Source organism: Homo sapiens, chromosome 8 (assembly GCF_000001405.40).
Source record: "Homo sapiens chromosome 8, GRCh38.p14 Primary Assembly".
Lineage (NCBI taxonomy): Eukaryota > Metazoa > Chordata > Mammalia > Primates > Hominidae > Homo > Homo sapiens.
The window spans coordinates 143,331,422-143,357,580 of record NC_000008.11 but is presented as its reverse complement, the minus strand read 5'-3'; the positions used below and the strand labels follow the sequence as shown (position 1 = coordinate 143,357,580).

General features: G+C 51.3%; 1 protein-coding gene and 1 pseudogene across 20 annotated transcripts in view, besides 6 other annotated features; one reads left to right on the top strand and one right to left on the bottom strand.

The window, feature by feature from the left end:
* The window catches only part of TOP1MT (DNA topoisomerase I mitochondrial), a 50,654-nt gene that overhangs the window by 2,397 nt on the left and 22,098 nt on the right, over positions 1-26,159 (top strand). For 3 of the 20 annotated variants that reach the window (XM_047421333.1, XM_047421330.1, XM_047421345.1), the window contains exon 3: positions 24,980-25,094. The exons of 4 other annotated variants lie outside the window; for them this stretch is intronic. In XM_047421333.1, the coding sequence (XP_047277289.1) occupies positions 24,980-25,094 (115 nt within the window). Of the gene's footprint in view, positions 1-12,599; positions 12,666-22,186; positions 22,456-22,700; positions 22,842-23,296; positions 23,507-24,979; positions 25,095-26,159 lie in introns of those variants that run through there. 13 more of the 20 variants (XM_047421346.1, XM_047421332.1, NM_052963.3 and 10 more) reach the window with 11 other exon arrangements.
* RNU6-220P (RNA, U6 small nuclear 220, pseudogene) lies at positions 7,303-7,409 on the bottom strand (annotated as a pseudogene).
* Positions 17,707-18,444: an enhancer, noted in NCBI's record as "H3K4me1 hESC enhancer chr8:144421307-144422044 (GRCh37/hg19 assembly coordinates)". NCBI's record gives its function as "activates a minimal SCP1, AML or CMV promoter by ChIP-STARR-seq in naive H9 embryonic stem cells {active_cell/tissue: H9 hESC(naive)}" and the evidence as "EXISTENCE:reporter gene assay evidence [ECO:0000049][PMID:30033119]".
* Positions 22,544-23,003: a silencer, noted in NCBI's record as "silent region_19616". NCBI's record gives its function as "represses an Ori minimal core promoter by ATAC-STARR-seq in GM12878 lymphoblastoid cells {active_cell/tissue: GM12878}" and the evidence as "EXISTENCE:reporter gene assay evidence [ECO:0000049][PMID:35858748]".
* Positions 22,544-23,477: a biological region, named in NCBI's record as "H3K27ac-H3K4me1 hESC enhancer GRCh37_chr8:144416274-144416958".
* Positions 22,793-23,477: an enhancer, noted in NCBI's record as "H3K27ac-H3K4me1 hESC enhancer chr8:144416274-144416958 (GRCh37/hg19 assembly coordinates)". NCBI's record gives its function as "activates a minimal SCP1, AML or CMV promoter by ChIP-STARR-seq in naive H9 embryonic stem cells {active_cell/tissue: H9 hESC(naive)}" and the evidence as "EXISTENCE:reporter gene assay evidence [ECO:0000049][PMID:30033119]".
* Positions 23,204-23,253: an enhancer, noted in NCBI's record as "active region_28069". NCBI's record gives its function as "activates an Ori minimal core promoter by ATAC-STARR-seq in GM12878 lymphoblastoid cells {active_cell/tissue: GM12878}" and the evidence as "EXISTENCE:reporter gene assay evidence [ECO:0000049][PMID:35858748]".
* Positions 25,153-25,686: an enhancer, noted in NCBI's record as "H3K27ac-H3K4me1 hESC enhancer chr8:144414065-144414598 (GRCh37/hg19 assembly coordinates)". NCBI's record gives its function as "activates a minimal SCP1, AML or CMV promoter by ChIP-STARR-seq in naive H9 embryonic stem cells {active_cell/tissue: H9 hESC(naive)}" and the evidence as "EXISTENCE:reporter gene assay evidence [ECO:0000049][PMID:30033119]".

Below are 26,159 nucleotides of genomic sequence, written 5' to 3'. Positions count from 1 at the left end.
TTGGACTCCTTGCCCCAAGCAGTCCCTGCCTCAGCCTCCCAAAGTGCTGGGATTACAGATGTGAATCACCACACCTGGCCTTAATGTTTCATTTTTAAACTCACAATCTTCAACATGTTCAATATGTTGTATTCTTAATTTTTGTTTTTACTCTCGAACTTTTTTTTTTTTTTTTGAGACAAGGTCTCACTCTGTCGCCCAGGAGTGCAGTGGTGATCATAGCTAACTGCAGCCTCAACCTCTTGGGCCCAAGTGATCCTCCCACCTCAGCCTCCTGAGTAGCTGGACTACTGGTGTGCACTATTGTGCTGGCTAATTCTTCTTTTTAATTTTTGTAGAGATGGGATCTCCCTATCTCCCTATGTTGCCCAGCCTAGTCTAGAACGCCTAGGCTCAAGAGATCCTCCTGCCTCAGCCTCCCAAAGTACTGGGATTACAAGTGTAAGCCACTGTGCTCAGCCTCATGAAGCTTTTTTTTTTTTTTTTTGAGATGGAGTCTCACTCTGTCGCCCAGGCTGGAGTGCAGTGGCACTATCTTGGCTCACTGCAAGCTCTGCCTCTCGGGTTCATACCATTCTCCTGCCTCAGCCTCCCGAGTAGCTAGGACTAAAGGCGCCCGCCACCACACCCATCTAATTTTTTCTATTTTTTAGTAGAGATGGAGTTTCACTGTGTTAGCCAGGATGGTCTTGATCTCCTGACCTTGTGATCCACCCTCCTCGGCCTCCCAAAGTGCTGGGATTACAGGCGTGAGCCACTGCATGTGGTCTTTTTTTTTTTTTTTTTTTTTTTTTTGAGACAGAGTCTCACTCTGTTGCCCAGGCTGGAGTTCAGTGGCGCGATCTCAGCTCACCACAACTTCTGCCTCCTGGGTTCAATCTATTCTCCTGCCTCAGCCTCCTGAGTAGCTGGGACTACAGGTGCATACCACCATGACTGGCTAATTTTAGTATTTTTAGTAGAGACGGGGTTTCACTATGTTGGCCAGGCTGGTCTCAAACTCCTGACCTTGTGATCCGCCCGCCTCAGCCTCCCGTAGTGCTGGGATTACAGGCGTGAGCCACTGCACCTGGATGAACCTTTTTGAAATGAGTATTTTACAAGTATAAAAAGCTTTTTTGATCATTTACTTAGATAAATTTAAAAATATGTACTTTGTGTTCACACAAGGTGCATTTATGTCAAATTTCAGAAGGGTTGGATCTGCTGCCAGCATGCTGCCTGGGTCGTGTGTAGGGTGTAGAAGGAGCTGGAGTTAGGTGTGGGGACTGCACGCTTGTCCATCCTGGGAGGGTTGGTTACTGGTTACCTGGAATCCTTTGACGGCTGCTGCCAGGCTTTGGTTGAACTGTAATGGCAAGCAGCCGTGGGCCGGGGAGTGAGTGGCCTGGGCCTGGCCGGCCCCATTCTCAGAGTTGTGTCTGTCTGCCCGCTGGCCACATGCAGGATGCTGTGGTGGGGTTCATCCTAGTGTTTTCACAGAAGTTCTGTTTATTATGACATGGAAATGTCCTCAACGTAACCCTGTTCTCTTGTGACTTATAGCAGTGCTTGAGGGAAGAAAATAAATTCTCCGTTTCAAAAGAAAATCCAGGGCGGGACAATCTTACTGTTGGGTAAGGTTTGTTCCCTTTATCCCTCTTCTAAGAGTGAGGTGAAATGGGGCAGTGAGGGAATGGGGGGAGCGAGGGCACAGGGTGAGATCAGCTTTCGTCCTGAGAGCCTGGCCTTTGCAGTGGAATTGGGACCTGCCTCGTGTTCTTTTTCCAGTCTTTGTTTCCGCTTGAGCGGAGTTAGGAATCCACAGGACTGTGGAGCAGGTTCGTAATGCGAGCCGCCTCTGACAGGTGCAGAGGTCCGGCTCTTGCACATTCGTGTCGGGGGCCCAGATGTAACAAGGGGGTCTGGCATCTCCCTCATGTGCCAGGGGCCCTTTCTGTTTGTTTTTGTTTTAGATAAATCATCTTGTCAGATTGTTACTGTGGTTAACAACCAGTGTGACCACATCTTTTTCAAAGATTAGAACCAAAAAAAAGTTGAAAGGCATTAGGCCTGCAGTCCTCACTCACCTTTCTCTCCCTCTGCTCTCTTCTCTCCTGCTTTCTTGTGTCAGATAATCATGTAAATAGCTTTCTGTGTCCCGCAGAACAAAGAAAAGAGCCCGATGGAAAAACGGTTAGCTTTTGCTTTTGAGAAATGTGGTACCTCCGTGGCTTGATGGCAGGCTGCATGCATCCATTCGCGGCGAGTAGAATCTAAGGTAGGATGAGTCCGTTTGAGCTAATTGTGTCGTTTTAAGTAAGGTTTCCATAGATGAACTAAGCACCTGGCCTTGGAACGCAGGAGCTGTTTAATGCGGTGTTTGCTCTGCGTCCTGTCAAATCGTGTTTGCTGGTTTCCGGTACCTGCCCTCTGGTGAGGAGCTGGGTCATCCCCGGTTGTGTCTGCCATGTGCCGCTTCCGCACTCTCCTGCCATCCCGGCTGTGAGCTGGGAATGTAATTCTAAGTAGGCAGGCGGTGCACGGGCCACACCTCCCAGGCTGCTGAATCTGTTCAAATGAAGCCAGAAATGGAGACTTTTATGGTGAAATATCCCAAGCGTTAAATGTTGCTGCAACTTCACAAAATTGCGTGACTGTTTTCTGTCCGTCACTTTCCTTTTTTTCTTTTCTTTTTGTTCTGTTTTTGTCTTTTTCACTTTTTGTCCCTTTTTTTTCCTGTCCTTAAGTGTGGTCTGACCATGCAGCAGCCCCGGACTTGCTCTGGACCTGTTCTGGTTCTGGGAGCTGCCCAATTCTCAGATGACTCTTTGCTCAGTTAAACTTTGTTAAATTTAATTTATCTAAAGTTTTTCTTTTTTTTTTTTTGAAATGGAGTTTCACTCTTGCTGCCCAGGCTGGAGTGCAATGGCACTATCTCGGCTCACCGCAACCTCCGCCTCCCAGGTTCAAGCGATTCTCCTGCCTCAGCCTCCCTAGTAGCTGGAATTACAGGCATGCACCACCACGCCTGGCTAATTTTGTATTTTTAGTAGAGACGGGGTTTCTCCATGTTGGTCAGGCTGGTCTCAAACTCCCGACCTCAGGTAATCCGCCTGCCTCAGCCTCCCATAGTGCTGGGATTACAGGCGTGAGCCACCACGCCCGGCTAACGTTTTTCTTTTAATGTTCCCATTCTCCATTCCCCCAGCCCCTGGCAACCACTAATCTACTTTCTATTTCCATGGATTTGCTTATTCTGGATATTTCCTGTAAACAGAATCCTGCAGTATTTTTCCTTTTGTGCCTGGCTTCTTTCATGTCAGGTGTTTTCAAGATCCATCCACACTGTGCTGGGTTAACACTTCATTCCCTTTCACAGCCGAAAACACCCTGCTGCGTGTATATCTGGGATTCGTTGATCCGTTCGTCTGCTGATGTACATTTGGGTTGTTTGTACCGTAGGGCTATTGTGAATAATGAGGCTACAAGTATTTCTTTATAAGTGTTTGTCTGAATACCTCTTTGCAGTGCTTTCGGGTATGTAGCTAGAAGTGGAATTTCTGGCTCCTGTGGTAATTTCATGTTGAATTTACTGAAGAACCAACAGACTTTTTTTTTTTTTTTTTTTTTTTTTTGGGATGGAGTCTCTCTTTGTCGCCCAGGCTGGAGTGCAGTGGCGCGATCTCGGCTCACTGCAACCTCTGCCTCCTGGATTCAAGCGATCCTCCTGCCTCAGCCTCCCGAGTAGCTGGGATTACAGGCACCCGCCACCACGCCTGGCTAATTTTTGTATTTTTAGTAGAGACGGGGTTTCACCATGTTGGCCAGGCTGGTCTCAAACTCCTGACCTCAAGTGATCCCAAAGTGTTGGTTCAGGCATGAGCCACCATGTCCGGCCCCAATAAACTTATTTAAAGCAGCATTACCGTTTTACATTCCCACCAGCATTGTACAAGGAATCCAGTTTTTACACATTCTTGCCAACACTTATTTTCTGTCTTTTTCATTATGGCCATTCTGGTTGATGTAAAGTGGTAACTCAGTGTAACTCACTGTAGATTTGATTTGCATTTCCCTAGTGATTAGTGATACCAAGCATCTTTTCATGTGTTTATCGGCCATTTGTATCTCATCTTTGAAGAAATGTTTATTTACAATCTTTACCTTTTTTTTTTTTTTTAAAGAGACAGGGTCTCACTTTGTTGCCCAGGCTGGAGTGCAGTGACACCGTCATAGCTCACTGCAGCCTTGAACTCCTGGGCTCAAGCCACCCTCCCACTTCAGCCTCCTGAGTAGCTGGGAATACAGGTGTGCGTCACCACGCCCAGCTAATTTTTTAAATTTTTGGTAGAGATGGGGTCTCCCCATTTTGCCTAGGCTGGTCTCAAACTTGTGGGCTCAAGTGATCCTCCCACTTTGGCTTCTCAAAGTGCTGGGATTACAGGTGTGAGCCACCCCGCCTGGCCCTTTACCTGGTTTTAATTGGATTATTTGTTTTTTATCGTTGAGTTGTAAGAGTGTTTTGTATATTCCAGATACTAGACCCCTATCTGTGGATTGTCTTTTTGCTTTCTTGATGGTGTCTTTTGAAGCACAAAAGTTTTCAGTTGATCTCTTTTACCTGAGTTCAATTTATGTGTTTTATCTTTGATTGTTTGTGCTTTGCCTGTGTGTGTTTTTAAAAACCATTATCTGCCTATGATCCCAGCACTTTGGGAGGCTGAGGCAGGAGGATCACTTGAGGCCAGGAGATTGAGACCAGGCTTGGCTTTGAAGTGAGGCTGTGACTTGACGAAAAATTTAAAAATCAGCTGGACATTGTGGTGAGCACATGTAGTCCCAGCTATGGTAAGCTGAGGTGGAAGGATTGCTGGAGCCTGGGAGTTCAAGGCTGCAGTGAACTATGATTGTGCCACTTTACTGCAGCCTGTGTGACAGAGTGAGACCTGGCCTAGACCAACCAACCAACCCAAAAACCATGATCTAATTCAGGGTCATAAAGATTTATACCTATGTTTTTTTCTAAGAGTTTTATAGCTTTGGCTCTTACATTTAGGTCTTTGATCCACTTTGAGTTAACATTTGCATTTGATGTGAGGAAGAGGCCTAACTTCATTCTATGCATGTGGACAGTCCGCACCCCTTGTTGAAAAGACTGTTCTTTCCCCATTGAGTGGTCTGACATCCTTGTTGAAATCAGTTGCCCACAGGCATGTGGGTTTATTTCCGGACTCTGAGTGAACCCACCGGTCTCTGCGTGTCCTTCTGACAGTGCCCCGCTGTCTTCATCACTGTAGCCCTGAAGTTTTGAAATCAGGAAGTATGAATCCTCTAATTTGTTCTTCTTTTTAAAAGACTGTTTGACCCTGGGTCAAACAATCTGGGTCCTTTGTGTTTCCTTGTGAATTTTAGGATCAGGTTGTCAATTTCTGCAAAAACACTAGCTGGAATTTTGATGGGGATTGCATTGAGTTTTTTGATCCGTTTGGAGAGTATTGTTGTCTTTTATATATTTTGAGACAGAGTTTCACTCTTGTTGCCCAGGCTGCAGTGCAATGGCACAATCTTGGCTCACCACAACCTCCACCTCCCAGGTTCAAGCGATTCTCCTGCCTCAGCCTCCTGAGTAGCTGGGATTACAGCATGTGCCACCACACTCAGCTAATTTTGTATTTTTAATAGAGAGGGGGTTTCTCCATGTTGGTCAGGCTGGTCTCGAACTCCTGACCTCAGGTGATCCACCCGCCTCGGCCTCCCGAAGTGCTGGGATTACAGGCATGAGCCACTACACCTGGCCGAGTATTGCTGTCTTAACCATATGAAGTCATCTAGTCCATGAACACAGGATAGCTGTTCATTTATTTAGGGTGTCTTTAATTTCTTCTGGCAATGTTTTACAGTTTTCAGAGTATAAGCTTTATATCTCTTGTTAAATTTATTGCTCAGTATTTTACTTTTTTGATGCTATTGTAAATGGAATTGTTTTACTTTCCTTTTCTTTTTTTCTTTTTTTTTTTTTGAGACTGGGTCTCACTCTGTCCCCCAGACTGGAGTGCGGTGGCATGATCTTGGCTCACCACAAGCTCCGCCTTCCAGGCTCAAGTGATTCTCCTGCCTTTGCCTCAGCCTCCCAAGTAGCTGGGATTACAGGCATGCGTCACTCTTGCCAGGCTAATTTTTGTATTTTTAGTAGAGACAGGGTTTCGCCATGTTGGCTGGGCTGGTCTTGAACTCCTGACCTCAGGTGATCCACCCACCTTGGCCTCCCAAAGTGCTGGGATTACAGGCCTGAGCCACCGCACCTGGCCAAGAAAATGTTTTTATGACACTTGTTGAAGATGGTAAGGCAGATTTTCCAGGAGAGGCCGCTGTAATGGGGTTTTGCAGTAGGGGAGAGAGATTGAGCTCAACTCCAAATACAACAAAGATGTGGGGATGTACAGCCAAGAAGCAGAGTTGGAAAGTTACCATGAGGAGACATCGGGGGTAGGGGTTCTTGCTGAAGGCAGGCCAGGGTGATGAGCTGTAGAGGCTGAGGGAGGAGGAATTTGACCCGATGATGAAGGCGATCAGATACCAAGGTGGGCGTTTTCACTGAAGCGACCAGCGGGAGTCTTGCTGAAACTGGACTAAGTAGGTCAAGGACTAAGCCAAGGTCAGGGCCTGGTCGAAGAGGAGGACCCAGGAGCCAGACTCAAGTGTGGTCGAGGACAGTCTCTGTCGGTGGGGAGTGCTTATAATTCTGCATGTGCTTGAAATTTTCCAAAATAGGAAGTTTTCTAAAAATTTAAATTGAAGTAGATTGCAGTAAAAATAAAAAGAGAACCAAAAAGTCTGTTCAGATGCATTGGACTTTGTTTCAATTCTGATTTACAGAAAGATTTTTTAAATGATGAGACAATTAGGGAATTTGAGCACTCCGTGGATATTCGATAATAAGGAATTTGTTTTTTGAAGTGTGATAGTGGGCTGGGTGCTGTGGCTCACGCCTGTAATCCCAGCACTTTGGGAGGCCTAGGCAGGAGGATCACTTGAGGTCAGGAGTTCGAGGCCAGCCTGGCCAACATGGCGAAACCCCGTCTCTACTAAAAATACAAAAATTAGCCAGGCATGGTGGCAGGCGCCTGTAATCCCAGCTACTCAGGAGGCTGAGGCAGGAGAATCACTTGAACCCGGGAGATGGAGGTTGCAGTGAGCTGAGACCGTGCCACTGAACTCCAACCTGCATGACAGAACGAGACTCAGTCTTAAAATAATAAAAGAAAAGAAAAGTGAAAAGAAAGAAAGAGTGATGGTGTATAGTGGTTGTGTTCTTTAATTGTTTTTGTGGAGAGCGTGATGAATTTGCCTGTCATTCTTGCACAGCGGCCATGAGAATCTTCTCTGTATTGTTCCACTTTTAGCGTATGTGCTGCCGAAGTGGGCACGTGGTTGTGGTCTTTAACGGAAGAGTTTGCATCTTTGGACATAATTGGAGATGTTTGTGGGTGAAACGATGTGCTGTCTTGGAGTTGCTTCAGAATAACCCAGTGGGGAGAGAAGAGGGTGGGCACTCAATGGAAGGAGATGGGATGTGAGCTGATAAGTTTTGAATTGGTGTAATGGGGTTGTGGGAGTGTATTAATACTTGTCAGACTCAAATGAAAATACACAGATGAGGCCCAGCACGGTGGCTCGTGCCTGTAATCCCAGCACTTTAGGAGGCTGAGGTGGGCAGATCAATTGAGGTCAGGAGTTCGAGACCAGCCTGGCCAACATGGCGAAACCCTGTTTCTACTAAAAATACAAAAATTATCTGGGCGTGGTGGTGAGTGCCTGTAGTTCCAGCTACTCGGGAGGCTGAGGCAGAAGAATTACTTGAACCCACGAGGCAGAGGTTGCAGTGAGCCGAAATCATGCCACTGCACTCCAACCTGGGTGACAGAGCAAGACTCTGTCTCAACAGAAAAAAAAAAAAAGTGTACAGATGAATCTCTAAACAAAATGTTTTATTGGGAAAAACAGAATTGCAATTCAGGCATACACACAGACCAGAGTGGTCTTTGGTCCCAAGAACGAAGAGCATGCTGGGGGGTTTATTGGAAAGAGAAATGTTACCTATTGTTTTGAAAGAAAACACATTGGCACTAATGAAGTTTTGGGGAGCTGGCAAGCTCAGATTGGTGAAAGACACAGTAGGTAAACCTAGTCTTTGGGTCAGGTAGGTTGTTCCAACAGCCATTAGGTACACCCGGTTGTAAGGTTGCAGCAGGTCATTTCAGCAGCTAGACTTGCAGGGGGCAGGGGGGTGGGAGGGGGGCTCTGGGAGCAGGTGCCGTGTGCCTGAGAGCTTTTCCTGGGTCCCTCGACTCTGATTTGGTTGGGTGTGGTAGGAAAAGCTCAATTTGTATAATGAGTTTTCATAAGCCGTTCTCTCTCTGTTTGTGTGTGCTTGAGATTTTCTCTAATGAAACATTAAACAGAAGAGGCTCATGGCCCGCCTGTTGGTCTCTGGTGGGTAGTTTTGTGGTGAGGAGCTGAGAACCTGCCTCCTGAGGAGAGGATCCTCAGGTGATTTGGCTGCTGCCCTGGAGACCGCGGTTCTGCCCTCTAAGCCAGCTACGAGCATTCTGTGCAGGCAATAAGCAATGCCTGGTCATAGCTCACAGTTCTGTAGGTCAGATGCTCAAGTGGGTTTGGCAGGATTCTCAGCTTAGGGTGAGTTGGGGTGTGCTGAGTCGGGGTACGCTGGCCGGGCTGGGCTCCTGCCTCAGGGCACCAGGCTCCTGGGAGTTGGGTCAGTCCCTGTAGCTGTGGGACCAAGGGCCGTTTTCTGGCTGGCTGTCAGCTGGCGTCCATTCTCCATGCCCCTCCATTTGGCCCTTCATCCTCACAGCCTGCAGAGGCACCTGAATCCAGTCTCTGACTCTCCCTGTCACCACCTGGAGGAAACTGCTTTTCAGCGGCGCATGGGGCTAGATCAGGCCCACCTGGAGGGCCCCCACCCCCCCCCACCCCCCAGCTCTCAGTGAGTACAAGAGTGACACAGGATGAAATATGCTGGTCTTCTTAGGACCCTCCTGCCACACCCCTGCAGGGCACCCCTTTACATGGCAGGATTAACAGGCTACACAGCTGGGCTTGTGGGGGAGGTCGGTGGGGGGTGTCTGTCAGGTGAGTGTGGGACAGAAGGGCCACAGGGTCACATGGAGTCTTGAGCCGTAGCTGCGGCTCAGGGCATGAAGTCCTGGGCCCTTTCAAAGCCGTGACTGGGTTTTCTATCAATTCTCTTGTTGCCCCAGGTGGTCTCATGGTCTTACCACCCCTTGTGCTGTCCTCTGTGTGGACATTTTCTTGTGATTTTCTCACATGTCTGCTGCTCACTATTTGTGACAATGACTGAGGGACTTTGGAGCAGGGAGCTGGTGGGAGTATCTCTGGATGGGGCGGGCCTGGGTTTACCAGTGGGCTTTGTCCTGAGTGGGGCCTCTCCAGGGTGGTAGGGCTTAGGCGGCAGGACTTTCCAACTCCAGGAACTCCACTCTTAGCACAGAAGGAGGCCCTGGGTGGAGGTCCCCTCTGGCTTGCAAGGCTGCTGTGGGATGTGGAGGCCCTGGTCAGGCCCCACATCTCCTGGGCACCCTCCATGGCAGCCACCCCTCCTCACCCTCCTCAGCGTGGGGAGACCCCTGGCTGCTACAGCTGCGTCACAGAGGAGCCTGCTGAGCTCCAGGTACCCGTCCTCACCTCGGTGCCTGAGCTTCGAGGCCTGGCCTGCTGTGGGGCTCAAAGCGGTGGTCCCGCACAGCCCACCTTGGACTGAGGGTGGCTCTGCCCTCTCTCCCATTGTGCTTTATAAAGTTCCTGGATTGTTTCAACTCTTCCCCGCTGGCTGGCTGGCTGGCTGGCTGGCTGGCTGGCTGGCTGGCTGCCTGCCTGCTGTGGTTTCAATGTTCCTTCTAAAACTCAGGTTGCAATTTAGTTGCCATTTGTAATACTTAATACTAAATAGTAACTACTTTTAAGAGGTGAGGCCTGGCCAGGCACGCCTATAATTCTAGCACTTTGGGAGGCCGAGGCAGGTGGATCACTTGAGGTCAGGAGTTCAAGACCAGCCTGGCCAACATATAGTGAAACCCCGTCTCTACTAAAAAATACAAAAATTAGCTGGGTGCGGTGGCTCATGCCTGTAATCCCAGCACTCTGGGAGGCCAAGGCGGGCGGATCACGAGGTCAGGAGATCAAGACCATCCTGGCTAACATGGTGAAACCCTGTCTCTACTAAAAATACAAAAAAGTTTGTTGGGCATGGTGGCGGGCACCTGTAGTCCCAGCTACTTGGGAGGCTGAGGCAGTAGAACGGCGTGAACCCAGGAGGCAGAACTTGCAGTGAGCAGAGATCGCGCCACTGCACCCCAGCCTGGGCGACAGAGTGAGACTCCATCTCAAAAACAAAACAAAACAAAAATTAGCCGGGTGTGGTGGCGTATGCCTGTAATCCCAGCTGCTTGGGAGACTGAGGCAGGAGAATCGCTTGAACCTGGGAGGCGGAGGTTGCAGTGAGCCAAGATCACACCACTGCACTCCAGCCTGTCCACAGAGTGAGACTCCATCTCTCAAAATAAATAAATAAATAAATAAATAAATAAATAAATAAATAAATAAAGAAGTGAGGCTTTTGAAAAGTGATTTGGCTCTACCCTCATAAGTGGACAATGTTGTTATCTTGAGAGTAGATTTCTTACCATGGGAGTTGGTTCCTGATCAAAATCGTGATTTTGCTTAGTGTCCTCCCTCTGACCTGTGCGCTAGTTCATCTTCTGCCCCTGGGGTAATGCAGCAAGAAGGTCCTTGCCAGATGCAGCTTCTTGATTTTGGCCTTCCCAGCCTCTGGTGAGCCAGATAAATTTGTGTTCTTTATAAATTGCCCAGTCTGTGCTATTTGTTACAGCAGCAGAAAATGGACTAAAATACATCCCCCTTCCTTCTCTTTTTCTCTTTTTTAAGATGAGGTCTTGCTGTGTTGCCCAGGCTGGCTTCCAGTTCCCGGGCTCTAGTGATCCTCCCATGTCAGCCTCCCGAGTAGCTGGGACTACAAGCATGCTGCTATACCCAGCACAGCCCCCTTTCTTATTCTCTTGTGCTGCTTTGTTTGTTTAAAATATATCTTTTTTTAAAAAATCATTTTGTGAGATCTTGGCAAGGGAAAGCAAATTTGAGGGGCAATGCCTGGTCCAAGAACTAAGTTTCTGGGTGTCTCAATATCCCATTAGTTGGGTGGTAAAAGTGCTCTATGAAGATAACCCCTTTGGGTGTTCTGTTCCTGCACTGCCTGTAAGGAGTTTGGAGCAGCCTCATATTTAGGAACCTGGCATTTCCTCTTCACTCCTGAGCTTCAGGAGGCCTGGCATTGCCTTCGGAGCTGTTCTGGAGGTGAAACAAACCCTTGGCCAAGAGCCAGAAGAGCTTCCCATTCTCCTGGGCTCTGGAGTCACACAGGAGCACTTTGTGAGAAGTGAACTTTACAGACACATTATCTACACGTGATAAACTGTACTCGTTGACAGTGACCATTGGATGAGTTGTGGCAGAAGTGTCCCTCTGGAAAGCCACTGCCACACTCAGAATACAGACATGTCCACACACACTCGACCATCACCCCTGCCCCCGGCATCTCCCTGGTGATGATTTCTGCAGGTGTTTCCTGCGGATGTGCTGATAGGGCAGAATCAGACCCTCCACAGTCTACCCCATTAACAGTGGGTTGTTAGATAACGGTTTGTTTGAAAAGCAATGCAATAGTAAATGCTTTGTGGGACTTCAATTTAGAAAAAGTGTCGATGATTTGGATTTTGCCATTTTACTGATGACTGACTTCATCAGTATAGTTTAAGTGTGAATTACTTTATCTCTTCTCTGTGTTCTGGTACTATGTAATGTATTCTTCTATAATTTATGAAAGCCCTGAGTTGGCGCTAAACTTTTCTACTAAATTAATGCAAGCCTTATCTGTATTTTAATTTAAAACAGTGAAAAACTCTCTGCTGAAGTGCCAGCCAGAGGTGTGGGAGTATAGCCCGAGAGGCCCTGTTCCACGTGGGGTGTGAGTGACACCTCCCAGCCGCGCGTGGCAGCAGGAGCTGGAGGGGCCAGCCTGCTTCTCTGTGTCTGTGTCGAGTTTGCAACTGTGTCCTCCGGAGACCAGCAGACGCCTCGGGCTGGCATTGCTGGGCTCCTGTGCCCAGTGCTGGTTCAGACCTTTTCAGCCACCAGGGATGCCCTGTGGACCTGCCTCCTGCAGGGCTCTGCCAGGTCAGGCATGGGGGTGACCTCGGCTGCCAGTGGGCTTGTGGGCTCTGCCCCTCAGTGCGTGGCTCTGCCCAGTGAGGGTAAGCTCCTCGGGAAGGACTGGCTGGTGCCTGCAGTGTGGTACGTGTCTGTGTCCGGGGACTGGGACCTGTCTATGGGGAGTCTCCCATGCATACTCTTTTACAAGCCCCTGTGCTGGCCCAGGTGGAGCCAGGATTGTGTCATTGAGTTGGGATGAGGTAGAGAATGAGTTACCTTTTAACACGGCCCCTGGGTCTCTTATTGCTTAAAACTTTAACGTTTCCTTCCTTCTGATTTTTCTACCCCAGACTGCAGCCCGTGCTGATGACTGTGGCTGTGATGAATTCGTGCCTGTGACCACAGCTGCTCTCCAGGTGCTGGGTGGCTCCTCCCTTGACGCCCATCCATTCTGTCTCCTGCCTGGCCTTGTTCACTGTCGCTCATCTCGCTCAGCTGAGGTCCCTCCTCCTCCGCTGTTTGGTGTCCTTGCCAGTTAATCACCCTTAGGTGCTGGGCCCTGGACTTACGGACAACATGGAGCCTGGCTTGTTGACAGGACAGTGTCTGCGCCTCTCCGTCTACACCCCCACAACAGGGGTTACTGGGGAGGGGGCGTCTGGGAGTGACAGAGATCGCTGTGGGGTCTGTGTGACCATCAGCTGTCCCTGTAGCTGGGGAATGGTGCTGCGCGGCGGGCGGGTGGCACAGTGAGCAGCCCTGGGTCCTCACTGAGTAAGGGAGTGGCTGGGGAGTGGGGAGGCTTGCCTTTGTATCCTGGGTGGGCATGGGGCTGGGGGAGTCACGGAGACCTGGAGGACCAGCTGCTGCTGGCCAGTGGGTGGTGGTGTCTCAGGGCCAGCCCAAAGCCTCCTGAGCTCCTGCCACTGCTACTGAGTGCTTCCTAGCCTGTCCCTCTGGTGTCCCGCCACTCCTTCTTCCTCAAGCAGGAGGGCTGAGCTGGGCTGGGGCAGAGGGGGCCTCCCACGGCTTCCCTGTGGGACTCTAGGCCTCTGCAGTCAGCACATCCTGAGAGGACCGTGGGTGTCTGCTGCCCTTCCCTCCCTAGTCCTCTCGTTTCGGTGAAGCGGCTCCTTCTGTCTTCTCAAGCACAGACCTTGGTGTCATCTTTGAGGGCCCCATCCTTGAGGGCCTAGATTCCACATGAAATCCATCTATGAATCCTGCTTTCCAGCTGTGTTACAACAGGGCCTCCTCTCACCTTTCTCGGCTGGCCCAGGCCTCTGCCTCAGTAGGGCTCTAACATGATTTTCAGAAATCTCACAGGTTTTTCCTTGCAAGACGCGTGTTTCACTGTGTCTCCAGTCTGCATGGATGTGGGCGTGTGTTGTGATGGTCAGATGGTGGAGTGAGAGCAGCCATAGTGTGAGGTGTGGGTGAGGGTGGCCAGTCAGCCGATGAGTGGGAGCGTTCAGACCGGGGTGCCTGGTGCCCCCATAACCTCCTCGGGGTTCCCAGGGATGGCGCCTCTGACCCAGCGTGCAGCCCGAGGTGGGCCCCGTGCCATTCCCACTTAAGCGAAGTGTCTGTTCCTCTCTCTGTTCAATGTGGGTTTTGTTTCTGAATATATTTTCTCACACTTCTTCTTCAAAAGTTACTTTGGAAAGACTGTTTTTCCAAATTGATGATCTCTGAACTGCTGTGGTGTTGGTGGGGACAGAGATGGTCCCAGAGGGGACCTGGGAGCTGCCTTTTACTGCCTGCCCACTCTTCCCGAGGCCGGGAGGGGCCTGAGATGTGTTCGCAGCTTCTGGCCTCGGGCGGGACTTCCCACCGCCAGCTGGTGCTGTGCTCAGAGTCAGAGGTTCCTTGATGCCCAGCACGTGGGTCACCAGCAGCTTTGCCAGGTGTACTTTTGAAAAATGAGAAAAGGGTCATGAAGAGCTTGGGAGGCTTCCATGAGGTTGTTCTGACTCTCTGTTGTTAGAATGGCAACCCTAAATGAGCCGCAGAGCTGCATGTTTATGTATACATTTGAATTCTAGATTTGCACAGATCACCACGCCAGTGAAGACTAATCACCATGAAAAGCCACCCAAGAAAAAAGGCCAAGTCGGCATCTTAAATAGGAAATGAATGTGTGAACATGATTCTGATAAGCAACTTCCCAGGCACTCATGCCTGATGAATGCTTATTCTTGCAGATATGACAACACAAATGAACTTAGTGTCTGATTTTCTTCTAAGATTTTATGGTGAAATAAGTTAGCAGGCCAGGCGTGGTGGCTCATGCCTATAATCCTAGCACTTTGGGAGGCGGAGGTGGGTGGGTCACCTGAGGTCAGGAATTTGAGACCAGCCTGTCCAACATGATGAAACCCCCTCTCTACTAAAAATACAAAATTAGCCGGGTGTGGTGGTCGGGAGGCTGAGGCAGGAGAATCGCTTGAACCCGGGAGGCAGAGGTTGCAGTGAGCCGAGATCACGCCACTGCACTCCAGCCTGGGTGACAGAGCGAGACTCTGTCTCTAATAATAATAATAATAATAATAATAGAGCAAGACTCTGTCTCTAATAATAATAACAGAGCGAGACTCTGTCTCTAATAATAATAATAACAGCGAGACTCTGTCTCTAATAATAATAATAATAATAGAGCGAGACTGTCTCTAATAATAATAATAATAATAGAGCGAGACTGTCTCTAATAATAATAATAATAACAGCGAGACTCTGTCTCTAATAATAATAATAACAGAGCGAGACTCTGTCTCTAATAATAATAATAATAACAGAGCGAGACTCTGTCTCTAATAATAATAATAATAACAGCGAGACTCTGTCTCTAATAATAATAATAATAACAGAGCGAGACTCTGTCTCTAATAATAATAATAATAACAGAGCGAGACTCTGTCTCTAATAATAATAATAATAACAGCGAGGCTCTGTCTCTAATAATAATAACAGAGCGAGACTCTGTCTCTAATAATAATAATAACAGCGAGACTCTGTCTCTAATAATAATAATAATAACAGCGAGACTCTGTCTCTAATAATAATAATAACAGAGCGAGACTCTGTCTCTAATAATAATAATAATAGAGCGAGACTCTGTCTCTAATAATAATAATAACAGCGAGACTGTCTCTAATAATAACAGAGCGAGACTCTGTCTCTAATAATAATAATAATAACAGAGCGAGACTGTGTCTCTAATAATAATAACAGAGCGAGACTCTAATAATAATAATAACAGAGCGAGACTCTGTCTCTAATAATAATAATAACAGCGAGACTCTGTCTCTAATATAATAACAGAGCGAGACTCTGTCTCTAATAATAATAATAACAGCGAGACTCTGTCTCTAATAATAATAATAACAGAGCGAGACTCTGTCTCAATAATAATAATAATAACAGAGTGAGACTCTGTCGCTAATAAGAAGAAGAAGAAGGGGGAGGAGAAAGAGGAAGGAGGAGGAGGAGGAAGAAGAGGAAGAAGAAGGAAGAAGGAAGCACTAGATGGGGCAGTGGTGTCGGGATAGTGCTCTGTGACCTTCCCTTTCTGGTGTTTTGTGTCTGGGTCAGGGTGGACGCTGGCAGTATGGCCTGTTGCGGCCTGCACCTGCTCCGGAGTTGGGAGCAGCCCCAAGCTGACCCCTGGCTCCTTTGTTCATTGCCCTTGGTTTCTGCTCCTGACAGAGGCCACAAGGGCTGAGATCAAGAGGCCATTTTCCAAAGCTGAGTTAAAAGCATCTGTTAGGCCCATGGAGGGCAGCCATTGCTGGGGTGGGGAAGGTGAACCTTCCCTCCTCCTCTGGGGTCTCCGGGTGGGTATGTTTGTGGCCCTGTGGCCCCTCTCATGGTGTGTGCTCTCTGTTCTGGGCAAGGTCCCAAGGCCACACGGAGGTTCCTGCAGACAAGATGAAGATGGCCCTTGGTGGATGTGCCCGGGGTCCTGACACCCAAGAGAAGAGATAGAAGGGCATGGCCCTGCAGGCGGTGCCCAGCCGGAAGGGGGCTCTGGAAGAGGACCTGGACTGTGAGCTCACAGACACTGGCCGGGGCAAGGGCTGTGTGGAAGAGAGGCACAAACTGAGAAAAAAAAAAGAATATCCGAAGAGAAAGGGGAGAAAGGGCTTCAGGACAAACGTGTGGGGAGATGCACTGGGGCGGCAGCACGAGAAGAGGGTGGCGGGGACGCTAGGGGCAAGCCTGAGACCCTCAGCTGTGGGGAGCGGAAGAGTGCAGGGGCCGCCGTGGGAGCTGGGGAGGAGCGCGCTCTGGGCAGTGGGATAGACAGAGCAGTTCCCACAGAAGAGGTGCGAAGCGTGGCCAGGAGCAGGTGCACAGTGAGGGCATGGTGCCCACCCCAGCACGGAGGACGAGCCAGGGCCACACTGAGCAGAAAGGAGAGTTACGGGCCAGGAGACAAGCACAGAACGAGGACGAGGATGTAAAAGAAGTGTGGGTGGGAAAAACCAAGAAAGAAGAAAGTGACAAATTAGGTAGTGGCACAAAAGTGGGACAGGAGGCCTTGGTTTCCAGAAAAGAAAAGAAGAGGGAGACAGACAAAGCTGGGGAAGAGGGGACTCGAAAACCAAAGAAATGAAAAGCTCAGGACCTGGAGGAAGACAGAGAAGTGCAGTGTGGGAGTGAGCTGGACGGGGCACCACAGCCAGCGGCGTGGCCTCGCCATTGCCCTGGGGCAAAGGGTGACTGGGAGGTGGGGGGCCTGGTGAAGAAGCCCCAAGAAGAGAAAGCTCAGGGCAGCCGGAAGCCAGCCAGAAGCAGAGAGAAGTGGAAGGAGGGGGAGCCAGTTGATGCTGGGGTGTCCAGAGGGAGAGAAGAAAGATGGCCAGGAGGCAGCTAAGCCACAGGAGGAGAGCCAGAAAGGGTGGGAGAAGGCCGAAGGCAGCAGGTGGAAATGGTGTGTACCCTACCCCACCCCTTCTCTCCCTCCATGTCCTGACGGGGTGGTGGGAATGCTGTGTAGACCAGTGCTGGGAGGGGGGGAATGCTGTGCAGACCGGTGCTGGGAGGGGGGAATGCTGTGTAGACCAGTGCTGGGAGTGTGGGAATGCTGTGTAGACCAGTGCTGGGAGGGGGGGAATGCTGTGTAGACCAGTGCTGGGAGTGGGGGAATGCTGTGTAGACCAGTGCTGGGAGTGGGGGAATGCTGTGTAGACCAGTGCTGGGAGTGGGGGAATGCTGTGTAGACCAGTGCTGGGAGTGGGGGAATGCTGTGTAGACCAGTGCTGGGACGGGGGAATGCTGTGTAGACCAGTGCTGGGACGGGGGAATGCTGTGTAGACCAGTGCTGGGAGTGGGGGAATGCTGTGTAGACCAGTGCTGGGACGGGGGAATGCTGTGTAGACCAGTGCTGGGAGTGGGGTAATGCTGTGTAGACCAGTGCTGGGACGGGGGGAATGCTGTGTAGACCAGTGCTGGGAGTGGGGGAATGCTGTGTAGACCAGTGCTGGGACGGGGGGAATGCTGTGTAGACCAGTGCTGGCAGGGGTGGAATGCTGTGTAGATCAGCGCTGGGAGCAGGGGAATGCAGTTTAGACCAGCACAGGCCCACTTCCCCTCCCTGTCCCTGGTGGGGGAGGCGGGGAGTGCTGTGTAGACCAGTGCTGGGAATGTGGGAATGCTACAGTGCTGGCCTTTGCCTGCCCACTGTAGGTTGCCAGGGAGCCTGGGTGCCCCCCAGAGTGCCCTCTTGCATCGGCAGCTTTGAGCTGTGGGTTGTAGGGTACTGGGAGCAGCCAGCAGTAAGTGAGTGTTTGCTGTGTGTCTGGCATTGCTTTTGGTCAGTCCTCTATGAAGTAGGTACTGCTATGTCCATTTTTCAGATGAGGAAACTGAGGTACAAAAAGGTTAAGTAACCGGGCCAAGGTCACATGGCCACAAGTGGGCCACACTGCAGTTGTAGCCGTCACCCCTGCTGTGTCCTGTACGCAGCCACGAGCTGCGCAGCTCTCCCAGTGGAGACGTGCTGGGGGTGTGATACGCACGCCTGCTTTGAGAAGAACGATGCATACCATCGCATTAGCATATTATGTTGAATGACAGTATTTTGGTTGAAATAGTTGAAATTAAGTATATTGTTAAGGTCAAAGTCACTGTTTCTTTTGCAGTGTGGCTTCTGGATGGGGTAAACTCCACCACTGCTCGCAGCTGTGTCTGCTGGGCGGCGCCGCCTCCCACCTGGGCAGTCCCTGCATAGCCTTGGAGCTCCGGCTTCTGGGTGGGAAACGTCTTTATAGGTATCAGCTCCTGCATTCAGCACCTGTTTGATTCTGGGGAAATTCTTTAAATTTTCTAAGCCTAGTTTCTCTCATGCAAAACAGGGGTCCTCCTACCTGCTGTGAGGAAGAGTGCGTGAAGCCCTGTCCCCGCTCCCTTGGGCAACCCCTGAGTGGCCTGGGGAAGAAGAGGGCACAAGGGGAGGAGGCCGCCAACCCCAGGAATATTGGCAGACAGTTCATAGAAACCCCTTCTGGTCTGCAGGCCCAGACTCCCCAACTGTGTCTCTGGCCTTGTGCAGTGGGTGCCACTTTTCCACGCCCTCCCCAGCATGTTGACTGCAGCCACCCAGGTGTGAGGTGACCTCACTGTGGGTTGGATTTGCATTTCTCCCATGGCTGATGATTTTGAGCATCTTTTTACAGGATTGTTGGCCTTTTATATCTCATCTTTGGAGAAATGTCTATTTAGATTATTTATCCCCCTTTTTAAAATTAACATTTTTTTTTTTTTGAGACGGAGTCTCATTTTGTTGCCCAGGCTGGAGTGCAATGGTGCGATCTCAGCTCACCACAGCCTCCACCTCCCGGGTTCAAGTGATTCTCCTGTTTCAGCCTCCCGAGTAGCTGGGATTACAGGCATGAGCCACCACGCCTAGCTAATTTTGAATTTTTAGTAGAGACGGGGTTTCTCCATGTTGGTCAGGCTGGTCCTGAACTCCCGACCTCAGGTGATCCGCCCGCCTTGGCCTCCCAAAGTGCTGAGATTACAGGCGTGAGCCACCAAGCCCAGCCAAAAAAAAAATTTTTTTTTAAGAGATGGAGCCTGTTGTTCAGGCTGGAGTGCAGTAGCCTGATCATAGCTCACTGCAGTCTTGAACTCCTGGGTTCAAGCAATCCTCCCACTCAGCCCCCTGAGTAGCTAGGACTACTGTAGCAGGACACGTTGCAGACAAAACCTCTCGGACACCGGTTTTAGGGAATAAGAGGTTTTAATCAGCTGGGAGCATCAGTAGAATCGCCTCTCAAGATCCGGGCTCCCCGAGGTCCAGATTCCTGTCCCTTTTAAGGGCTTACAACTCTAAGGGGTCCATGTGAAAGGGCCGTGATACATTGTGCAAGTGGGGGCTACGTAACTGGGGCCGCATGCACCGGTGATCAGAACAGAACCAAACAGGGAGTTACGCAATGCTTCCTCATAAGAAGTCTGGAATCTGTAGATAACAGAAGCGATTAGGTCCGGGCCGATCTTTAACTACCAGGCCTGGGGTGTGGCGCCGGGCTGTTTGACTATTGAATTTCACTTCTGCCTTTTCTTTAACTCCTACTTTTTCTTTTCTTTGAGGCAGAAATTAGGCAGAAGACAATATGAGAGGTGGTCTCCTCCCTTACTACAGGTGTACACCATCATGCCTGGCTAATTTAAAAATCTTTAGTACAGATGGGGTCTTGCTGTGTTCCCTGGGCCAGTTTTGAAGTTTTGAAATCAGCAAGTATGAATCCTCCAACTTTGTTATTCTTTTTCAAACATTGTTTTGGCTATTCTGGGTCCCTTGTATTTCCCTGTGAATTTTAGGATCAGGTTGTCAATTTCTGTAAAAACGCCAGCTGGAATTTAGATGGGGATTGTATTGAGTTTTTGGATCAGTTTGGGGAGTATTGCCGTCTTTTTTTTTGAGACGGAGTCTTGCTCTGTTGCCCACGCTGGAGTGTAGTAGCGTGATCTCGGCTCACTGCAAGCTCTGCCTCCTGGGTTCACGCCATTCTCCTGCCTCAGCCTCCCAAATAGCTGGGACTACAGGCGCCTGCTATCATGCCAGGCTAATTTTTTTAGTAGAGACGTTTTAGCCAGGATGGTCTCGATCTGACCTCGTGATCCGCCCGTCTCGGCCTCCCAAAGTGCTGGGATTACAGGCGTGAGCCACTGCACCTGGCCAATGCTGTCTTAACCATATGAAATCATCCAGTCCGTGAACATGGGATGGCTGCTCATTTATTTAGGCTGTCTTTAATTTCTTTGGGCAATGTTTTACAGTTTTCAGAGTATAAGCTTGATACTTCCTTTGTTAAATTTATTGTGCAGTATTTTATTTTTTCATGCTATAATAAATTATTTTCTTAATTTCATTTTCAGTTTGCGTATGGCTACTGGTTAGAAATACAACTGATGTTTGCATATTGATCTTGTACCCTACAATTGTGCTGAATTCATCTATTAGCTCTACTAGTTTTTGTGGATTCTTTTTTAAATTTTATTTTCCATAGAGATAGGGTCTCACTATGTTGCCCAGGCTGGTCTTGAACTCCTTGGCTCAAGTGATCCACTTGCTTTGACCTCCCAAAGTGCTTGGATTACAGGCATGAGCTACGGTGCTCGGCCAATTTTTGTGGATTCTTTGGGATTTTCTATATACAAGATTATGCCACCTGCAAATAGACATAATTTACTTCTTTCTTTCTGATCTGGGTGTCTTATTTCATCTGCTTGCCTGTTTGCTCAGTTAGAGCCTCTGGTACCATGTTGAGAGGCAGTGGTGAGAGTGGACATCCTCGTCTTATTCTTCATTTCAGCAGGAGCGTCCAGTCTTTCTTCTGGCATATGAGGTTAGCTGCGGGGTTTTGTAGATGCTGCTTTTCAGGTTAAGTTTCTTTCTATTCTGTTCTTGAGTGGGTTTTCCATTCTGTTTATCATGAAATGGTGCTGGATTTGTCTGCTGCTTTTTCTGCATCTATTGAGAAATCTTAGGGTTTTTGTCCTGCCACACTCCCTCTTACAAAACCTGAGGAACCAACTGGGCATCGGCTCACACCTGAAATCCCAGCACTTTGGGAGGCCAAGGTACTTGAGCCCAGGAGTTCGAGACCAGCCGGGGCAACATAGGGAGACCCCATCTCTACAAAAAGTAAAAAACAAAAAATCAAAAACCCTTAGAAACCTGAACTGGAAAACACATTGACCTCAGGATTCCGTTGAAGGAATGGTGGGCCTGGGCCAAGGCCCTCTTCTGGTTTGTAGAAAGGGTTACCTGAAAAAATATGCATCACTGTTCCGCAGCCCCTGGGAGGAGGTGGCCCACCTGGAGAGTCAGCTGCTGTGTCCTGGTGTGTGTGTACCTTCAGCTGCTGAGCTGCTCATTCTGAAATGATGGGACACCTACCAGGTCTGCCTGGGCCCTAAGAGCGAGCAATTGCAGCCCTCGGCCTCTGCCCATGGCTTCCAGCAGCTAGATGACATGGACACTGAGTCAGTTGGTGGCAGGGGAGGGTCGCTGAGGGCGTGCGGTGGCAGCCCGGACTCCTTTCCTGCCTGTGTCCACTGCATTCCCCCCAACGGTCACAGTGAAAGTGCGGAATGCATGTGAATTCATCTGCTTCCCACGGTCCTGGTGTCAGGGTTTTACCGGGGAAGACCAAGGCTGCGGTGCTGCCAGAGGTGAGCGGTGTGGCCTGTTGTGGCTCAGGGCCTACCGCCAAGTGCTGATCTAGAGGTTTTGCCCCTTGGCCATGCTCCCCAGTGAAGACACTGGGGTTAAACCCTGGTCAGGGTCAGCAGTCACGCTGGGGACTGAGCGCAGGAAGGAGGCTCCAGCTGTGCCTGGTCTCTGGTCTCCTTGGGAGTGAGAGGCTGGTTGGCAGGGATGATTTCGCAGGACTTCCTGTGACCTTTGTCCAGAGGCACCACCTCTGAGGGGCTGCTGTGGGCTGGACAGCAGGTGCTTCTGCCGGTTTCTGCGTCCTGGAAGTGCTGCTGTTTGTAGGGGATGAGGTAGGGGGCCATCTGAGCCTGTGTGGTCCCTTCTCCAGAGCAGCAGAGCGTGTACTTAGGAAGGACCTGCTAGGTGCCCCTGCCCTCAGAGGCTCTGGGAGAGAGCTGTGTGCAAGCCCTGGGCAGGAGTTCACTGGCCTGGTCGTGTGACCTGTGGGGCATCCTGACAGCCAGCCCTGTGCTGCAGAGGTCAGTGGGACTGGGTTTGGATCTGGGTCCCCGCCCAGCGTGAAGGGGCGCTGGACCACGAAGGCAGGGAAACCAGGGGGAGGCCGGCAGGACAGTCAGTGGTCCTGCTGCCGCAGCCCCGTGCAGGCTTAGACCGCCCAGCCTTGGGATGAGCGCCGCTGGGGGCGGAGGCCGCGCTCGGGGGCGGGGCTGGCCGCTGGGGGCGGGGCGGGGCTGGCCGCTGGGGCGGGGCCCAGCTTGTCGCTCTTTCCCGGAGGCTGGCAGATGCGCGTGGTGCGGCTGCTGCGGCTCCGGGCGGCTCTGACGCTGCTCGGGGAGGTCCCCCGCCGCCCGGCCTCCCGGGGTGTCCCGGGCTCGCGCAGGACGCAGAAGGGCAGTGGAGCCAGGTAAGGTGTCCCAGTGAGCAGGCGGCGAGGGCCCTGAGCACCGGGCTTGGGTAGGTCCAGAAAGGGGAGTGGCAGGCCTCGTGGGACGGCCTTGCCCTGCTTCCGGTTTTCCCAAAAGTCGGGCCAGGAGAGCATGCGTGCCGCGGTGTGACCGGCCCGCCTCCTGCCCGGGGTGTACAGGCCCCCCCATGACGTCGCCCTTGCTTCCCCAGGCACCACCCCACCAACCCTATTTGGGGAAATCTCCCCTCTTTTTTTCCGCTTGTGGTTTCATCATTTGTGTAGCTGTGCCTGGGCCTCAACACTGTAGGGTTTGGTTAGGTACTTTATAAAAAGCTTATGTTGCTGTGCATGGTCTTCTGAGACCCGCTCTTTCCTGGAGTCGGTTCCCGGGTTGTCTCCAGGACCGATTCTGCATGGCGGCGGGCGCTCACTGTCATATCTACATCACCAGGCACAAGCCGCATGGATCCAGTGGCCCTGGTGGCCGTTGGTGGTCCCAGGCGCTTTCCTGGAGGACATGTGAGAAGCCCTGCCGGCGCATACTGGGCCTGGGGTAGCCGCATGGGGATGGGTCTCTGCGCATGAAATGCTGGAGTTTCCGAAGAGCTGGAGAGTTGACAGCCTCACTGGTGCGTGGGAGATCCTGCAGGAGTTCCCGCCAGGTCTCGCGGTTTATCATCATTCACTTAGTGCTTCCAGCGTGGCATGTCTCTGTGACCTGGTGGTGCGCTATCAGCATACCCATTCACAGCTGAGGGCCTGCACAGCTGCCTAAGGCCATGCTGCAGAAATGTCCTGTCTGCCTGCAGGAGCTTGGGACCCAAAGAGAGCCCCAGATGGGGCAGGGTGTCTTGGGAGGAGGGAGTTCTGGCCTGCGCTTGGAGCTGGGGCTGGCTGTGGGCCCTGCATTGAGGCACATCTCTCCGAGGGTGCACAGGCAGGTAGGTGCTTTCCAAAAAGTGCTGCTGAGCTGCAGTCGCCCAGGTGGACAGGTGGGTTTGGAGCAAGGTCTCTGGCTTTGAAAGCCAGCTTGTGTCTGATGGTGGTGCTTGGTGCCCTGGTCTCTGCAGGGGTGAAAGAATGTCACTACAATGTGCAGCCCTCAGTTGGGCTTGAGCGCACACCCAGTGGTGCAGCCCTGCCTGGCCGCTGGCCGGCAGGTTGTTTCACCTCAGTGTCTTCATCTGTGAAATGAGACTGGTGATGTGACTACCCTAGAGGCTTTGTGAAGGACTTGGCAGTCAGGGTCACTGTCAGTTCTTTATTTTTATTTTTATTATTATTATTTGAGACAAAATCTTGCCCTGTCACCCAGGCTGGAGTGCAGTGGTGCAATTTCAACTCACTGCAACCTCTGCCTCCTGGGTTCAAGTGATTCTCCTGCTTCAGCCTCCTTGAGTAGCTGGGATTACAGGCACCCGCCACCACGCCTAGCTAATTTTTGTATTTTTAGTAGAGACGGGGGTTTTGCCATGTTGGCCAGGCGGGTCTCGAACTCCTGGCCTCAAGTGATCCGCCCGCCTCGGCCTCCCAAAGTGCTGGTATTACAGGCGTGAGTCACCGCGCCTGGCTCCTATCAGTTAGTTCCGAGATACACGTGGTTTCCCATTTTCTCACACCCGACATGATCCATCTTCCCTTATTCTCTAAGAAGGCGTTGTCTAGGTTTGCATCCTTCAGGGCACTTAGTGGTGCAGCCTCCTACCAGCCCCACCCTAGACATGCTGTATCAGGGCTGGTGGGCTCTCTTGAACTCCTAAAACCTGTAAGAAAGGTGAGGCTGGTCTCACCTGACGTGGAAAAGCTCTGCAGAGTCAGCAGAACCCCCCTCTCCCCGAGTCTCCCTCCAGACTCCAGCTGCCTGCAGCATCTGCCAGCTAGTTTTTTTGTACTTTCGCCATGTTGGCCAGGCTGGCCTTGAGCTCCTGAGCCTGCCTCAGCCTCCCAAAGTGCTGGGATCACAGGCGTGAGCCACCACGCCCGGCTCCACCCTGGAAGGTTCTTGAGCCCGTTAACTTCTCCCTACTTTATCAGCTCCGTCTCTACGTCTTCTAACCTTGCCCATTCCCTCCTCTGCAGAAACAGCCAGAAAGGCCCTTTCAGAAATGTCTGTTGCACATGCTTTCCCCTCTCAGACCCTTCAGAGACTTCCTGTTGCTCTGAGGACACTCATCCCAGCCGACCAGGCCCACCAGGCCCCCAACAGCACTACCTGGCTGGGGTCACGTGCAGGTCTCCTGGCTCTGGCAGGTGGGGGTGTGATCTGGAACCTTCTGTCCTTGTGCGTCTGGGGGAGGCTCAGAAGGTGTGCCCATCTCACTCTCCCCCATCCTGATGGTGCTCCCACCCTCTCGCCAAAGCCTCTCCCACTGAGGCCTTTGCACTGGCCATCCTGGGTGCTGGACTTGCTCTTCCCGCAGCCCTGCTGACCGAGCCTGCCCACTGCCTGCCAGCCACGCCCCATCTCGCTCCTCTTCTCCCAGGCCCATCTCAGAATCTAGGTTCAGTTGAGCCCTTCGTATGGGTTTTGGTGATCTGCATCCGCAGGACCCAGCGCAGTGCTGGTTCAGGGCAGGCTTGGGCTTGCCTCAATGGATAGATGATGACTGGCCTGGAGAGTTAGGATGGGCTGTAGCCGCCACGCTGGCTGTGTCCCCCCACCCCCTCCAACACCCCCCCAATCTCCAGAGCTGGGCTTGCCAGAAGGGGGCGCCCTGGGGAGGGGGACCTTGGCAGGGAGCCCTGTGGAGCCTCACTGTGTTAGTGCCTTACAAAAGGAGCCCTTCCCTGAAAACCCCTGAGGCTTCTGGCTTCAGGGCCTCCCCTCCCTGCCCCGCCTCCTCCACCCCGCCCTGCCTCTTCCACCCTTCCACCCTGCCCGATCCTCTGTGGGCGGCGGTCCTGCGCCCTGCTGTGGTGCCTCTCCACTGGCTGCACTGCTGGACCCCCTTCCACCCAGCTCCTCGGAGGCAGGGCTCTCTCATAAGCAGCCAGGTCCTTTATTTAGCAAATGAAATGGTCCCATGGAGAGGTTCCCGAAGATTCTAGACCGGCTCTGAAGGGACCCATCTGGGGAGAGGCCCTAGAGCCTGGGAGAGGCACGTTGCCTTTCCCACTTAGCTGGGCTTGCCCTTTCCCGCTTAGCTGGGCTTGGTGGGATCCGTGACTCAGCAGCACACGGGCCTCTGCAGGTGGGGGGCATGGGCGGGTACACGGGCATGGGGTCTGAGGTCAGGTAGGGTTGCCTCCCTCTGCAGGCCTTGTTTTCCTCCCCCGTGAGGTGGAGGCCACACTGCTCACCTGCTAGGAGCCACA